Raw genomic sequence first — 16,711 nt, 5'->3', positions numbered from 1 at the left:
GTGTTTTATTCCCCCTCAGTTGTCAAGGAGATCTTCCTTCTACTAATCACAATCCCTCTGGCTTTGATTTAAATTCATCATATGGTTGTTTTCCCATTCAAGGTGGCTCTTATCTCACCTTTAAAATGGTTTCTACTTCTCTGGCCTTACATGTTTCTCAGCTTCTCCTTTTTTCAAACCAGAATCATTTTCTTAAGACAACTTTAGTTTGAATCAGGTGGACAGTAAAGAGGCCAAGGTCAGAAGGCCATTCACTCCATTGGTTCATTGGCATAACTTGGTGACCAGATGGTGCCTGCTCCTAATCTTTTCCATCTTCCAGGCCCAAACCTAGAGGGTGGGTGAGACTTCCCAGCTCTGGTTAGAAGCATCATTTTACTTTATGAGGTCCTGCTTTGCTTCATACCCCTCTGCAAAAAGTAATTGTACTTCCTATGTAAAGATAGGAAAACAGAAGCACAGAGCTGGGAAACGACTTGACCAAGGTCATACTACTCACCTGCAGTTGCAATTCTGCCACTTAAATAAAAGTGACAGATTGACACATACAAACATGCAGACAGGAAGAGCGAGTGGCAGATAAGAGAGGCAAAGACAGGGATAGAAAGAAATATTGGTAGGGGACAGAATGAAAGAGAGAGAGAGGAAATGAAAGAGAGAGAGAAAAAATTCAACCTAAATGATGACTTCTTTGCTTTCCTGAGGCATTTATCTTTCATTTGACCTTAGAAGAGTCTATTTGTGTAGAGATTTTAAATTGAGAATTTTTTTCTTTTTAAAAAACATCCCTGTGCAGTTAGCACAGTTTTATATTACTTTCTATTCATGCCAGTGGCTTCAGTATTTATTCTCCTCCAAAATCACTGAATTGGAAGGGACAGAGTGAAAGTCATTTGGCTTTTTGTGTTTGTTTGGATTCAGAGCCTGAGGCCCAAGGGGAAGGGTGGGGGCTGGGTCAGTGCATCGGGCTGAAAACTGGGGAGATGGGGGATGCCCAACAGTGTTGTGAAGCATCTGACTTCTGTCCAAACCATACTGCATCCTGGGTTGTCAGCTCTGAAGTCCTTGGGGGTGGGGAGGGAGGCTGGACAGGCCAGAGCCATGAATCTTCTGGCTCCCCAGAGCCATGAATTAGCCATTCAGCATCCTGGAGTTGGTGCCCAAACTGGATCTTGAAGTTTATGGCAAATTGAAAGTCACTGTGGCCAGGAGGTCTAGTTTGGGTCTGGGCATCTATGTGATTGCCTGGGTATGTGTCCCAACTTCACCACTTACTGGTTTCACGGCCTTAGACCAGTCCCTTTACCTCTCTGGGCCTCGGTTGTTCTCATCTGCAAAATGGGATTGGTAAGAATCATCATCTCCTAGGGCTGGTATGAAGATTAAGGAAGTCATTGCTCATGAAGAGGTTGGCACAGTGCCTGGCACTCAAGAAAATATCTGTGAGTTGAATGAATATAGTTCATGCACTTGCATGAGAATTCTGCAAGAAGCATCATGGAGAGGTGACTCCACAGGACATAGGCTCTGGAAACAGAGAGACCTAGGTTCAAATCTGTTGTTGATGCCTGAATTTGTATCCTAGCTTCACCAGTTACTAGCTGTGACTTGTATCAGTCAGTTTACTTTTCTGTTTATTCATATTTAAAAGAGATGATAATAATACCTACCTCATAGAGTTGCCAGGAAGACTAAACTAGAACACAGAGCTTAGCAAGGTGCCTGGCATAGTGTAAGAGCTCAGTGAATGTTAGGAAATGAAAGTTAGTTAAAAACAAGCCACAGCCCATGCATAGGAATTCACAAAGCAGAGAAATGCAGTGGCAGGCTTTGCAAACAGAGGGAATAGCAGGTGCAAAGACTCGGAGGCATGAACAGGCACAACATGATAAGACTGGAGCCAATAAGGCATGGCTGAAGCAAAGAGTGAGTGGTAGGAGCTGTACTGCAAGTGTGGACAGGAGGAAAGCCATGCAGAGCCTTGAATGCCAGCCTAGGGAGCTTCGACTTCTCTCTGAAAGCTATGGAGAGCCACTGAGTGTTTTAAGTAAGGGAGGGACATAGTCATATTTGGACAACCTGAGCTCTTAGTCCCTATGAAGGCTTTGGCAATCAGGGCCAGATGTTTCATTAAGTGGATGGTAAAACTGAGACCCCATATGGAGAAGGGCTTTCCTGGTGCCTAAATTGAGGCTTCAGCAGGTCCGAGGTCAGAATCCTGGGCTTGGCCCAACCATCTCTCTTCTAGTATTCCTGGGCTTGGGTGAAGGCAGAAAAGACCCAGATCCAGGGACCCCACTGGAGCAAAGAAATGAGTGCTACACACAGAACAGCCAGAAAAATCCCCGTGGTAAACAACAAGCAGCATTTAATTAACTTGTAAGTCTGTGGGTCAGCTGGGTTGGCTTGGCTGGGGTAGCTCAGCTCTGCCCCCTCCTCCTCCCAGGACCAGCAGGCTAGGCTGGGCATGTTCTTGTGGCAGTAGCTGAGGCACAAGCAGGCAAGCCCAACCACGGAAGTGCTTATCAAGCCCCTGCTCGATGCACCTCTGCTCTCATCCCATTGGCCAGAGCAAGTCCCATGGCTGAGCAACGTCCACTCAAGTTGCAATGGGAGGGCACTGCAAAATAACATGGTAAAGAGTGGGAACATACAATTGGGGGCATGCTGGGGAGGAAGTAAGGAGTTGGATTCATCGTCATAGCTACCATAGGTGCTCTTTAGAGGCTTCCCAGGCCTCCAGGCCCCCTTTCTGCCCTCAGAAGTCCATTTGTCACCCTAGCCATGGCCCCCAAGAAGGGGTGGGAAGAAAGGCCACCAGCATTTCCTGAGCACGCACACCAAGCACCGTGCTACGTGCTCTGCAAGCCCATGTTCCTGAATGCACATGTCTTCCCAACCTCTCCTGCCATGCCTCTCTCCCCCTTGCCTGGCACTCTCTGGCTGGACTGCTAACACCAACATTCAAAGCTCCCTGTGTGCTTCGCACCTCAGGACCTTTGCTCATGCTGTGCTCTCTGACCGACACATTCCCCTCTCTCTTCACCCCCTCCAAGGCAAACTCCTTCACATCTCCTCTGAAATACCTTCCCTGGCCACCCTGTCTCAGTATCTTTTTATTCTTCACCACGGAAGCTCTTGTTTGTTGTCTTCATAGCTCTTATCACTGTCTGCAGTGGTGCATTCATGTATATGTTTGATTCATATCTCTCTCTAAAGACTGTAAGTACCATAAGGGAACATATCTCTCGGACCTTGTGCAGGGCCTTCCACACTGTAGACACATAGTAAATATTTATCAGAAGGAAGGAAGAGAAAGAGAGGGAGGGAAGAAGGAAGAAATGGAAGGAGAGAGGGAAGGAGAGATGATGAGGTAAGAGTTCTTCATGCCCATTTTACAGATGAAAAGAGGTTCAAATGCATGAAGTCCCTTATCCATAGGCCCACAGTCACACCATTAGGAAGCTGCAATGTAAACTCAAGCCTAAGAGACCCCTCTCTACTCTCCCCTCTATTCGCCCCTCTAGACCACGAATTATAAAAAATGATCTTAACCATACAAAACATAGTCAATCAGCCGGGTGCGGTGGCTCTCGCCTGTAATTTCAACACTTTGGGAGGCCAAGGTGGGTGGATCACAAGGTCAGGAGTTCGAGACCAGCCTGACCAACATGGTGAAACCCCGTCTCTACTAAAAATGCAAAAATTAGCCGGGCATGATGGTGCACGCCTGTAATCCCAGCTACTCAGGAGGCTGAGGCAGGAGAATCATTTGAACCCAGGAGGCGGAGGTTGCAGTGAGCCAAGATCATGCCACTGCACTCCAGCCTGGGTGATAGACCATCTCAAAAACAAAACAAAACAAACAAACAAACAAACAAAAAATATATATAGAGAGAGAGAAAGTCAATCAGGCCAGCCACAGTGGCTCATGCCTGTAATCCCAGCACTTTGGGGGGCTGAAGGAGAAGGGAGTCCAGGAGTTTGAGAGCAGCCTGGGCAACATAGTGAGACCTCATCTGTACAAAAAAAATTTTTTTAATTAGCCAGCCATGGTGGCATGCACCTGTAGTACCAGCTACTCAGGACGCTGAGGTGGGAGGATAGCTTGAGCCTGGAAGGGAAAGGTTGCAATGAGTCTGCCTGGGTGACAGACTATATCTAAGAACAAGAAAATAGAGTTAATCACATAACAAATGCTCATCTTCCCAGCACACAGCTTAAGCACTAAAACATTATGAGGAACTCTGAGGGCTCCTGATCTCCCCTCCTGGACCTCATTCCTCCTTCCCTGCCTCCACAGAAGTGGCCATCACCCAAAATGGGCTGTTCGTCATTTTCTGTGACCCTCGGCATGCCCCATGCTTATTCTCACCTCAGTACCTTTGTTCATGCTGCCTGGTACACCCTCCCTTCCCTTCCTTAAATCCTACCCATCATTCAAGACCCAGCTCCAGTCCCACCTCCTCCATGACACCTTCTCTGATTGATCCAGCCTGAGATCATTTCTCCTGGACAGTTCATTCTCATCTGCGCATTGAGATAAGTAAAAGTTAGGCTTGTTCAAATGCTTGTCGCTGATAAGTTGAGGCTGAAGTCACTGCCTTAGTCTGAACTCTGATCTGCACAACCAACAGCTTGCTCAAATGTTCCTTGTGGACATTTTGCAGCAAGTCTCAAACAAAATGCCCCATCAGCCCTCAAAGCCTGTTGCTCTCCCTGTTTTCTGGGCTCTTGGGGATCAGCCCCACTATCCACCCTCCTACTAAGTCCAAAGCCTGACTCCTCAACACACCCTCCCCACCAGTCAAGATACCATTCATCCCACTCATCCCAGCACTTCTGTCTCCTACTTCCTCTCTATCACCATGTCCGATGCCCTAGTCCAGCTGCCATCCTCTCTCTCCTACAAGACAAAAACCACCTCTGTGGTCTCCCCGCTTCCACTCTCGCACTCTTACAATCCATTTTCCAGACATCAGCCAAATAATCTTTTAAGAATACAAACGTTATGTTAAGTGAAATAAGCCAGAAACAGAAAATTAAACACCATGTGTTATCACTCATATGTGGAAGCTAAAAAATGCTAATCTCATAGAAGTAAAAATTAGAACACAGGCTAGCAGAGGCTGGGCAGGGTTAAGGGAGTGGGGATAGGGAGAGTTTTGTTAAAGGATACAAAATTACAGCTAGATACCAGGAACAAGTTCTAGTGTTCTATACCAGTGTAGGATGACTAGGGTTAACAATAATGTATTAGTTTCAAATAACTGCAAGAAGGATATTGAATGTTCCCAACACAAAGAAATGATAAATATTTGAGATGACAGATATGCTAATTACTCTGATCTGATTGCTATACATTATATGTATCAAAACATCACTAATGCCCCATAAATATGCACAATTACTATGTGTCAGTTTAAAAAAATTGTTTAAAGAATACAAACCAGATCATGTTGCACCTGATTAAACCCCTATGCTGGCTTTCTAGTGCTCTTAGAAAGAAACTAAACTCCTTATCATGGCCTACGAGGTCCTGCATGTTCTGGGCTCTGCTCATCCTTTGGCCTTATTTATTGATTTATTTTTGTAGAGACAGGGTCTCGCTGTGTTGCTCAGGCTAGTCTCAAACTCCTGGCCTCACACAATCCTCCTGTCTTGGCCTCCCAAGTAGCTGGGAGTACAGACGTGAACCACTGCACCCAACACATGGCCTCATCTTCACCACTCCTCCTTGCCCTGCTCACATGTGCCCTGAACCCCCAACCCCCCACACCCAGTAGACCTTGGCCACCTATGTCCCCTGCCTAGACCACTCTCTCTGGCTCTTTGCCTAGTTATCTCCTACCACCTCCACCACTAGGTCTCCACTCAAAAGTTATCTTCTCAGGTCAATGCAAGTCAAACTCCCATTATTATGTGCTAAAAGCCCAAGGGACCTCTTCTGTAAGGCACTTATCATTGTTGAAATTTGACATTTCTTTGTGTGATTCTTGGATTAATGTCTATCTTTTTCTCTAGGATGTGAGTCCCAAGACGGCAGGGACTGTGTGTTGTTCACTGCTATATCCTAAGATCTCCATCCAGCAGCCAGTAGCAGGCTCAAAACTATTTGTTAAATCAATGAATGAATAGAACTGCAGTAAATATGTGTGCAGAGGCACACTGCGTGAGGATCACAAGATTATGGAGGGGCAATTGGCAGGAATGGGGTGCTGATTAGATGGGGAGGGAGAGCTGGCTCCCATTACCCTCAATGTTTGCTCAGCTTCCTATATGCAAACAATACCCCAACCATGATGACCATGACCATGGCTCCCCTACATCCATGGTCTCCAGCCAGGCTGCTGCCTTCTTGGTCCTGCTGCCTCCTCAGTCCCTGGTAATTCTGGCACCTCCAAGAGAGGGGAAGGAAAGGGAAAGGAGAAAGGGAGAGGAGAGGGGAGAAGAGGATAAGAGGAATAAGAAAAAGAAGAGGAAGAATCTTCCATTTTCTCTCTTTTTTATTATTTTGAGATGGGGTCTCACTCTGTTGTCCAGGCTGGAGTGCAGTGACACAATCTCGGCTCACTGCAACCTCCAACTCCTGGGCTCAAGTGATCCTCCTACCTCAGCATCCTGAGTAGCTGGGAGTACAGACACGCACCGCCATACCTGCTAATTTTTGTATTTTCTGTAGAGATGGGGTTTCACCATGTCATCCATGCTGGTCTCAAACTCCTGGACTCAAGTGATCTGCCTGCATTAGCCTCCATTCTCTCTTGAGCCCACTCCAATCAGGCTTAATCCCCTACCACCCCTCAAAAACTGACTTGGCCGAAATCCCCAATGACCTCCAGGCTGCTCACCCGATGGTGACTCCTCTGTTTTCATCTTACTGGCCCCTAAAGCAGCAATAGATACAATTGATCATGTTCTTCTGGAAACACTTTCTCCACATGCCTTTGCCTGGTGCTCCTCCCACCTCACCAGCAGCTTCTTCTCTGTACCCTTCCTTGGCTACCCCTTAACTTCCCACCTGTTCAGTCTGGGGCCCCAGGACTCAGTCCTTGGTCCTCCTCTCCTCTTCATCTACTTTCACTGCTTTGGTGATATTATCTAATCTATGACTTCAAATATTAATGTCAGGCCGGGTGCAGTGGCTCATGCCTGTAATCCCAACACTTTGGGAGGCTGAGGAGGGTGGATCACTTGAGGCCAGGAGTTCAAGACCAGCTGGCCAATATGGTGAAGCCACATCTCTACTAAAAATATAAAAAATTAGCTGAGCGTGGTGGCATGTGCTTGTAATCCCAGCTACTTGGGAGGCTGAGGCAGGCAAATCGCTTGAACCCAGGAGGCGGAGGTTGCAGTGAGCCGAGATCGTGCCACTGCACTCTAGCCTGGGTGACACAGCGCAACTCTGTCTCAAAAAAAAATTTTTAAATTAAAAAATAATATATTAATATCATCTGTGCCCTGATGTGTCCTAAATCATAGCCCCACCCAGAGCCCCTCCTGCAGACCTCTAGATCTGTCCTAGCAGATCCCAGCGACCCATGGCATCCCTAGGCTTGATGTTTCCCTCCAGTCTTCGCCTCCATCTTCACATGGTGTTAATGTCTTCACAGCATCTTCCCTCTGTGTATTTCTCTATGCTCAAATTTCCCTCTTCTTATAAGGACACCAGTCATTGGATTAGGACCCACCCTAATCCAGTCTGACCTCATGTTAACTTTATTATATCTGCAAAAACCTTCACAGGTTCTGGGTAAACACAAATTTTGGAGGGACACTATTTAACCTGTACAGCATCCCATCTCACATCTCCCTGTGGAATGCCTCATAACATTTCAAACTTAAAATACCCAAACCTGAACCCCTGATTTTCCCCTTTCTTCCCCACTAATCCACTCATCCTTACCCTTCTTTATCTCAGTAAATGACTCCTTCATCCTTCCAGCCATTCAGGCCCAAAACCTCAGAGTCAGCTTTGACCCCTCTTTCTTTCACACTCCACGTTTAATCCAACAGGAAGCATTGCTTGTTCTACCTGTAAAATGTGTCTAGAACCTGACTTCTTCTCACAACCACCCTGCTCCAAATCTCCATCATCTCTTACCTGGGTCATTTGTAACGACCTCTTCATGGGGCCTCTAGCTTCCACCATAACACCCCTCAGACTGTCTACCACACACTGGCCAGAGAGATCCACTTGAAATCCAAGTCAGACCATGTCACTCCTCTGCTCAAGACCCTCCCATGTTAGTTTGTCAGATAAAATACAAGATGCCCAGTTAAATTTGAAGTTCAGATAAACAGCACATAATTTTTATTATAAGCATATCCCATGCGACATTGGGGACATACTTAGACGAAAATTTTTTTGTGTGCTTTATCTGAAATTCAAATTTAACTGGGCACCCTTTTATGGATTTTTTTTTTTTTTTGAGATTAGGTCTCACATCATTGCCCAGGCTGGAGTGCAGTGGTGCAATCAAGACTCACTGCAGCCTCAACTTCCCAGGCTCAGGTGATTCTCTCATCGCAGCCTCCTGAGTAGCTGGGACTACAGGCACATGCGACCACATTCATATTTTTTGTAGGGGTGGAGTTTTGCCATGTTGCTAAGGCTGATCTTGAACTCCTGGGCTCAGGCAATCTGCCCACCTCAGCCTCCCAAAGATCTGCAATTACAGGCATGAGCCACCTCGCCTAGTCGTCATCCTGTATTTTTATTTGGCAAATTCAACACTCATACTCCTGTGGCTCCCATCTCATGCAGAGAAATACCCAGAGTTCTTACAATGGCCTACTTCATGTCTTTCTGCTTTCCTCCTTTCTAACCCAGCAGCAGCCATGCTGGCCTCCTTCCAAACCTGAAATATACCAAGCTTACACCTACCGCAGGACCTTTGCCTGGCATGCACATCCCCTGAATAGTCATATGACTTCCTCCTCACTTCTTTCTGGCCTTTGCTCAAATGCCCCTCCCTAAGGCTTTTTCTGACTACTCCATGTACCCATTCCCCCTGGGTCCCTTTCAATATCTTTTTCTGCTTTATTTTTCTCCACAGCCCTTGTCATCTTCTAATATACCATATATTTTACTCATTTCTCTTCTTTATTATCTATCCCTTGATTAGAATGCCATAGGGCAGGGATTTCCATCTGTCTTGCTCACTGCTGTCTATGCAGACCCTACAGCAGTAACTGCCTTACAAGAGGAGCTCAACAAATACTTGTTGAATGAATAGCTTTCAGTTTCTTCATCTTTAACGTGGAAATACCTCTGTAATCATGGAGAGGTATTATGAGGATCTTGTGAGTTAATAAAAGTAAGGCGGTGCTTATTAAATGCTCCCTTCTAAACTAGGTTCCCTGCCAACTCATAGATTTGATAGGTGTATAGTTATGTCTACCCTGAGTCGTCTACCTTTGAAGTTGCTGCTGTCCTCCTAGCGGCAACTGCTGGAATTACAGACATAGTGCCCAGGGAATTACCAACCTGTTACTAGGGACCAAGCCTAGCAAATCCCCTTTAAAGGCTGGCACACATAAGCCCAGGACACCTGAACAGAACTCCCAGGAACAGAGCAGCCACCAACTGTCTCAAGGACCCCTCCCATATACCCAGGCCCACAACTGCCTGCTGCAGGCTTCCATATTTCCCAGAACCTGCCTCTGTTCACTCCTGAGTCTGGCTTTCAATTCCGTCTCACTGTCTGCCTTTGCCTTCATTATCCTCCACCTGCCATGGAGGGGTTAGTTAAAGTGTCAGGAGCGATGTCATTTACAGCCTCCTGTTGCTAAGCAACAGACCCAGGTGAGCCCCTGAACTTTTTTCTCAGCAGCTGAAATGTATCTAGTGGAGTGATGGGGGCCCTGGCTGAACTAGTTCATCACTTGGGACAAGCTGCCAGCCTGGTGGCCCTGTCCCTCTTGGGACCCAGACAGGACTGATCCAGGGCTCTGGGCTCCACTGTTTTCAGATTTCCCTAATTAATCAGTGCTGCCCGGAGCCTCCTGGGTGTCCAGCCCCAGGGAGCACATTCAGGGTGGAGATAATCAGAACTGGGCCTCCCTGTCTCAGTGTGGAGAAAGATTCCCAAACAGGTCATTATAATCTGGGATGGGGTGTCACATGAGGGAGACAGACTTGCTCTGCTTGCCAGGGAAGCTCCCCAGAGTTTCAAAGGATGAACGGGAGTTAATCTGGGAGTTGGCCTGGGACAATTGAGGGGAAAGGGCTTTCCAGGTGGGGACACAGGACGTGAAAATATCTGGAAGCAGGAAAAGCCCTGGCTCCTCCTTTCAGCAAGGGCTCCTACCTTGGAATGGTGGGAACAGTGGAGGGGTCTAGACTCTAGCGCCCACCCTGTGGCTAACTCTCTCTGTGACTTCAGTTCTGTCCTTGTTCCTCTCTGGATCTGAGTTTACAATGGGATGCAGGGAGCAGGGATAGGATGAAATCAATGTTTAACGAAGTACAACATGCATGCTGCTGGGGATATGCCCTAGGTTTGGAGGCATTCCGGGATCCAACTTTTTTGTTTGAATACTTTGAATTTACTTTAAGTAGTGCTAGAAAGAAATATATAAGTAGGCCAGGAGTGGCGGCTCATGCCTGTAATACCAGCACTTTGGGAGGCTGAGGCAAGCAGATCACTTGAAGTCAGGAGTTCAAGACCAGCCTGGCCAAAATGGAGAAACCATGTCTGTACTAAAAATACAAAAATTAGCCAGGCATGGTGGCACACGCCTGTAGTCCCAGCTAGTCGGCAGGCTGAGGCAGGAGAATCACTTGGACCTGGGAGGTGGAGGTTGCAGTGAGCCAAGATCACACCACTGCACTCCAGCCTGGGCAATAGAGCAAGACTCCATCTCAAAAAAAAAAAAAAAAAAAAAAATATATATATATATATATATATATAAACTAGTACATCATAACAAGTAATGTTTCATATTCCTTTAAAATACTTTAAGTTATTTTAAAGAAATATATTAAGTAACTAATAGTACAGGTGGTAGCTAAGGGGTGATCTGGGAATGCCCAAGATTCCAGACACACTAAAATCAGTCTGTGAAGGCTCTTTCTGCTCTGCTAGCCATACAAGGACTAACGCTACCCACTGCTCTTTGTCACTTAGCCACAGCGCCTGGGGCACCCCAGGCAAGATTATCGCCTTCATTTCACTGATGGGTCACTGAGGCCCAGGGGAGTCACTCAGCAAGTTTGTGGCTTGGGGAGCTGGGCTTTGAGCCTGTGCTCATTCCCCTTGCCACACAGACATCACTCACTTGTCTCCCCCAACCCCTACTCCCAGCATGGGTGTAAACTGAATTTTCACTGAAAGCATCCAGGAGCATATCTGCAAGGTCAGCCATGCTGGAGACAGTCTACCATGAAACTTTGGGCAAGGGGCTTCCCTCTCTGGGCCTTGGTTTTGCCATCTGTACAGTGGGAGAGTGCCCAGTGAGATTGGGTGAGAATCAGGGTTTTCTCCAGCTATGTGTTCTTGGAGTCAGAGTTTCTGAGAGCCCCTGAATGTCCAAGAAGCTGGAGGGACAGACAGGTGGAGGAGGAGGCAGAAACAGCCTCTCAGGCTTCTTGTTGTACAAATTGCTCCAAACTTCAAAGGGCCCAAAGGCCCGGAAAGTTTCTTCTCAGCATTGTCTTGGGCAAGATTCCTCCATCTTTCTGAGAGATCTGGCTTTGTTCAGGCCTGATTTATGGGATCTTCTGAGAATACTGCTTCCTCCCTGCTGCCCAGTATAGGTGCCTGACTGAGAGGATAGCTGTATTAGTCCGTTTTCACATTGCTGTAAAGAAATACCTGAGACTGGGTAATTTATAAAGAAAGAAAGTTTAATTGGCTGACAGTTCTGAAAGCTGTACAGGAAGCATGATGCTGGCATCTGCTCGGCTTCTGGGAAACCTCAGGAAACTTACAATCATGGCAGAAGGCAAAGTGGAAGCAGGCATCTTTACATGGTGGGAGGAGAAGCAAAAGAGTGAGGGGAGAGGTACTACACACTTCTAAACAACCAGATCTCAAGAGAACTCACTCACTATCACAAGGACAGTACCAAGGGGGATGGCGCTCAACCATTCATGAGAAATATGCCCCCATGATCCAGTCACCTCCCACCAGGCCCCACCTCCAACATTGGGGATTACAGTTCACTATGAGATTTGGGAAGGGACACACATCCAAACGACATCCGTAACCAACCATCAGATTGGCCTAGGACAAACAGCTTCCTGGGATGTAAGACTTTAAGTTTGTTTTTCTGTTTGTTTGTTTGTTTGCTGAGATGGGGTCTCATTCTGTCACCCAGGCTGGAGTGCTGTAGTGAGATCTTGGCTCACTGCACCCTTGACCTCCCAGGCTCAAGTGATCCTCCCACCTCAGCCTCCTGAGTGGCTGGGACTACAGGCATGCACCATCATACCCAGCTAATATTTTAATAATTTGCAGAGATGAGGTGTCAGTATGTTGCCCAGGCTGGTCTTGAACTCCCGGACACAGGTGATCCTCCTGCCTCAGCCTTCCAAAGTGCTGGGGTTACACGCACGAGCTACCACAACCAGCCAAGAGTTTAAGTTTTAAAACTGGGATGATCCCAGCCAAACTGGGATGATCCCAGCCTAACTGGGATGAGTTATGGCCTACCACCTCATGCAAGGCCTTGCTAAGAGAGTTACTCTCATCTCCTCCTGGAGTCCTCACAACAACCCAGAAGGTAGGGCTCATTGTCCCATTCTCCAGATGAAAAAAGCAGAGGCTCAGATGAGAAATGACTTGCCAGGGCCACAGCTGCCAAGTGGTGGAGCTGATTTTCAAATCCAGGTCTGGGGTTATGGGAGGTAAACGCACTTGATACAAAACCTTCGGTGGTCCAGGATTCTCAGCATTTGGATAGGATAGAATGGAAGCAGAGAGGAGGTGGGTGACTCTGACTCAGTATCAAGGCCCTTCTCTCTGGGGTTCTCTGTGTCAAAAATAATATTGTCCTTCTTTTCCATGAAGGTTTGAGACTTGGGTTATGGTGTCAGCCCCGCCCCTAACTTGTTGGGTAACCTTGAACAAATCACTTGCTTCTCTGGGCCTCAGTTTTTCCTAACTAGAAAATGAGAACATTATCTTGGATCCCCTTTAAGACTACATTGCTATAAAGGAGGCTTAGAGAGCAAGAGGTTGAATTGACTCTTTGCTTTACAGATGAGGGAAATTGAGGCCCAGAGAGAGAGGACTAAGTCTTGCATTTGCACTTGACTATGATACAGGAGAATGTGGTCAAAACTGAAAGAGAACCAGAGCCAACATGAAAAAAGATACAGAGAGGCAAAGAGATATACACAGAGAGAAGGAGGATGAGTGAGAGTCAACTGTTGACTTTGTTTGGTTTCTGGATCCAGCCATGCCTGAAGTCTACTTGGACTTCCTAATAATTAAGTCAATACATTTCTTCTTTTGCTTAAGCTAGCTTGAGTTGGGTTTCTGTCACTTACAATCCTAAGAATTTATATCAGTTTCTATGTCCTTCCATTGAGGGATCCAGGGATACGTGTATTAAGTAATTAATTAATTCATCCATTCAACAAACATTTATTAGCATGCAGTCTGTAGTAGATAATGCACGAAGGGCACAATGTGGATATAGCGATAAACAAGATACATTAGGGCCTCAAAGGACTCACAATCCAGTTGGGGAGGCAGATAGGAAAATAAATGAGTGCGATGGAGTGAGATAGAAGTCTGCAGAGAGAAAGAGAGACAGAGAAACCATGTATCAGAGAACGAGAGGGCGAGACACCCTTAGGGTGGCCAAACAGGCCAGCAAAGAGATGGAAACAGCGGTGTACCTCTCAGAAATGATGTAAAATGCGTGGGCGGCGGGGTGGGAAGAGGTGAGGGGGCAGAAAGAGGAGGAGAGATCTGTGGTTGGGGCCACAGTGGATTCAAAGGTGGATTAGCACCTGCTGTGTGTTTAGTCCTGGGTGGACCGGGGTATTTCCATAGTGAAGAAGACACGAGAGCAAGTTCTCCATGAGTAGGACATCCCAGGTTGGTAGGTGGTGCCCAAAGCCCACAAATAAGGGCACTGGGATATGATGGGGGCTGGGGAGAAGTCTGTCTGTTGAGATCCTAAGGGAGTGGTCAATTCTAACTGGGAAAAAGGATGTCAGTGAAATTTTCTTATGAATATCTATGTAAGGCCGGGTGCGATGGTTCATGCCTGTAATCCCAGCACTTTGGGAGGCCAAGGCGGGTGGATCGCATGAGGTCAGGAGTTCGAGACCAGCCTGGCCAACATGGCCAAACCCCATCTCTGCTAAAAATTTAAAAAAAAAATTGTATTGTAATCCCAGCTACTCTGGAGGCTGAAATAGGAGAATCACTTGAACCCGGGAGGCAGAGGTTGCAGTGAGCCAAGATCGTGCCACTGCACTCCAGCCTGGGCGACAGAGCAAGACTCTGTCTCCAAAAAACACAAAAATCTAGGTAAGCAGGGTCTTTTAAACAGAGGAGGGTGGGCAGAGATGGGTGGGGTTTGGGGCAAGATGGACAGGAACATGAAGCCATTGGCACAGCCAGTCATGTCTGGATGTCTGGGCAGCAGAGTGGCCCCAGGCAGGCAGACTGGGTGCAAATTCCACTCTGCTGTTGCTTCCTGTTGGTTTTCCTCAAAACAGATCCTGTGACAAGGATTTGGGTGCACATGGTTTATCTGGGAGGTGGTCCCAGCACGTTGAAAGAGTGGGGAGGTGAGACTGGGAAGAGAAAGAGGTCAATACGGGTGTGTTCGTGAGCAGGTAACTGGAGCTTATCCGGCTGAGGACTCAGAGAAAGGACGTGCAACATTGTCCCTGCGAGGGACGAGGAAGCGGGACTCCTCCCCATTGATTGAGGGCTGCTCCTGAGGTTTGAACTCCGTGACTTCTGGCCTGCCCCTGCTGGCTGAGCGACCTTCAGGAGGCCAAAGAATGCCCTCGGGTGAGGCATGTCCAAGAGCCGTCTACTGGTGACCCCCAGGAAAGATGAAAGAGGCAGCAGAGCACCAAAAGCAGCTGCCTCAGCTTCTTGCCGGCTGTGTACACTTAGCTTCTCTGTGCCTTGGTTTTCTTGCCTATAAAATGGGGCTGAAAATGGTACCCCACACACAGCAATCATGAGGATGTAAAATGCTTAGCACAGGGCCTGAGACATGGCTCCGAAAATGGCAGCTAGTTTGGTTTCTAGATAACTATGAGTAGCTCTGCATGGCTGGAATAGACAGTGCGGGTAGCAGGGGCAGCAAGAGTGGGCGGGGGTGGGAGCAGCAGTGTCACGGGGGGGCCTTGATTGTCAGCACAGGTAATGAGGTCTCAACCAGAGCATGGTTGACATGGTTTGGATTTGTGTCCCTGCCCAAATCACATTTTGAATTGGGAGAGGGGCCTGGTGGGAGGTGACCATATCATGGGGGCAGATTTCCCCTTTGCTGTTCTCGTGATAGTGAGTGAGTTCTCACAAGATGTGATGATTTAAAAATGTGTAGCACTGCCCTCTTCGCTCTTTCTCTCTCCAGCCACCATGTGAAGAAGGTCCTTGCTTCCCCTTCACCTTCCGCCGTGACTGTATGTTTCCTGAGGCCTCCCAGTCATGTCTCCTGTGAAGCCTGCAGAATGGTGAGTCAATTAAACCTCTTTTTCTCATAAATTACCCAGTCTCAGGTAGTTCTTTATAGCAGTGTGAAAACAGACTAATACAGTGGTTGAGGGATGCTAGGGAGGAGGACGAGTGAGGAGGGCTGCTGGGTGTGGGGCAGACAGAGACTAGGGGGTTCAGGATGGCTGCCATCTGGCCCACCAGGACATCCCTGAGTCTGGGTGTTCATTCACACAGTGTCTCCATGACTTCTCTGTACCAACCACTTTCCAGGGAGGTGGATCTCAGCCTGAAAAGAGCTCTTTGTGCAGGCAGGGAGATAATACTTGAGCAGAAATAATGATAAGTTGGGTAAAACCCATCAGAAAGCCATCAGAAGGAGGCACAGAGGGTGAAGGGAGCTCAAGGGGAGGGAAGCATCACTTCCAGATGGAGAGGTCAGGAGATGCTCTGGAGGACGGGTATTTAGGATCTTGGCCTTATGGGAAGGATGACAAGATAGGCAGGTGAAGTGAGGGTGAGGTCCAGCCTAAGCAAAGTCAGAGAGGTGGGAATGTACAGGAGGTGCTACAGGTGGGTCAGTGGCAGTGGGTCAGTGACTGCAGCCCCAAAACCCAGACCTCCCTGTGGAACTGTCTTTGGGATTAAAGTTATCTTGGCTTGTCCAGTTCAAGGCTATATTTGCGTGTAAAAGTTTGATGTGCATGGTGTAGGTGAAGCCATGGGGAAAACAGCTCATCCCCCTCCAAATGCCAACAATGTATATTAGCACAAGCCTATAGGAGTGTGTTGAGTTGGGTTCCCCAGAAGCAGACAAGGATATCTGTGCAGGTGGTGTATTAACAGAGCGCTCCAGGCCGGGCGCAGTGGCTCACGCCTGTAATCCCAGCACTTCAGGAGGCCAAGGCAGGTGGATCACGAGGTCAGGAGTTTGAGACCAGCCTGGCCAAGAAACCCCATCTCTACTAAAAAAAATACAAAAAATTAGCTGGGCGTGGTGGCAGGTGCCTGTAATTCCAGCTACTCAGGAGGCTGAGGCAGGAGAATCACTTGAACCTGGGAGGCGGAGGTTG

The 16,711-nt window shown here is 47.5% G+C and overlaps 1 long non-coding RNA gene across 1 annotated transcript; it reads left to right on the top strand.

Annotated features, from left to right (window-relative positions):
* Positions 1–2,344: 2,344 nt before the first annotated feature.
* On the top strand, positions 2,345–6,166 carry LINC00489 (long intergenic non-protein coding RNA 489). The gene is made up of 3 exons (NR_047461.1): positions 2,345–2,635; positions 3,264–3,373; positions 6,025–6,166. It is a non-coding gene; the product is annotated as a long intergenic non-protein coding RNA 489 (long non-coding RNA).
* The last annotated feature ends 10,545 nt before the right edge of the window (positions 6,167–16,711 follow it).

The sequence above is a fragment of the Homo sapiens genome, chromosome 20 (genome assembly GCF_000001405.40).
Source record: "Homo sapiens chromosome 20, GRCh38.p14 Primary Assembly".
Lineage (NCBI taxonomy): Eukaryota > Metazoa > Chordata > Mammalia > Primates > Hominidae > Homo > Homo sapiens.
This window is presented reverse-complemented; position numbering and strand designations above follow the sequence as displayed.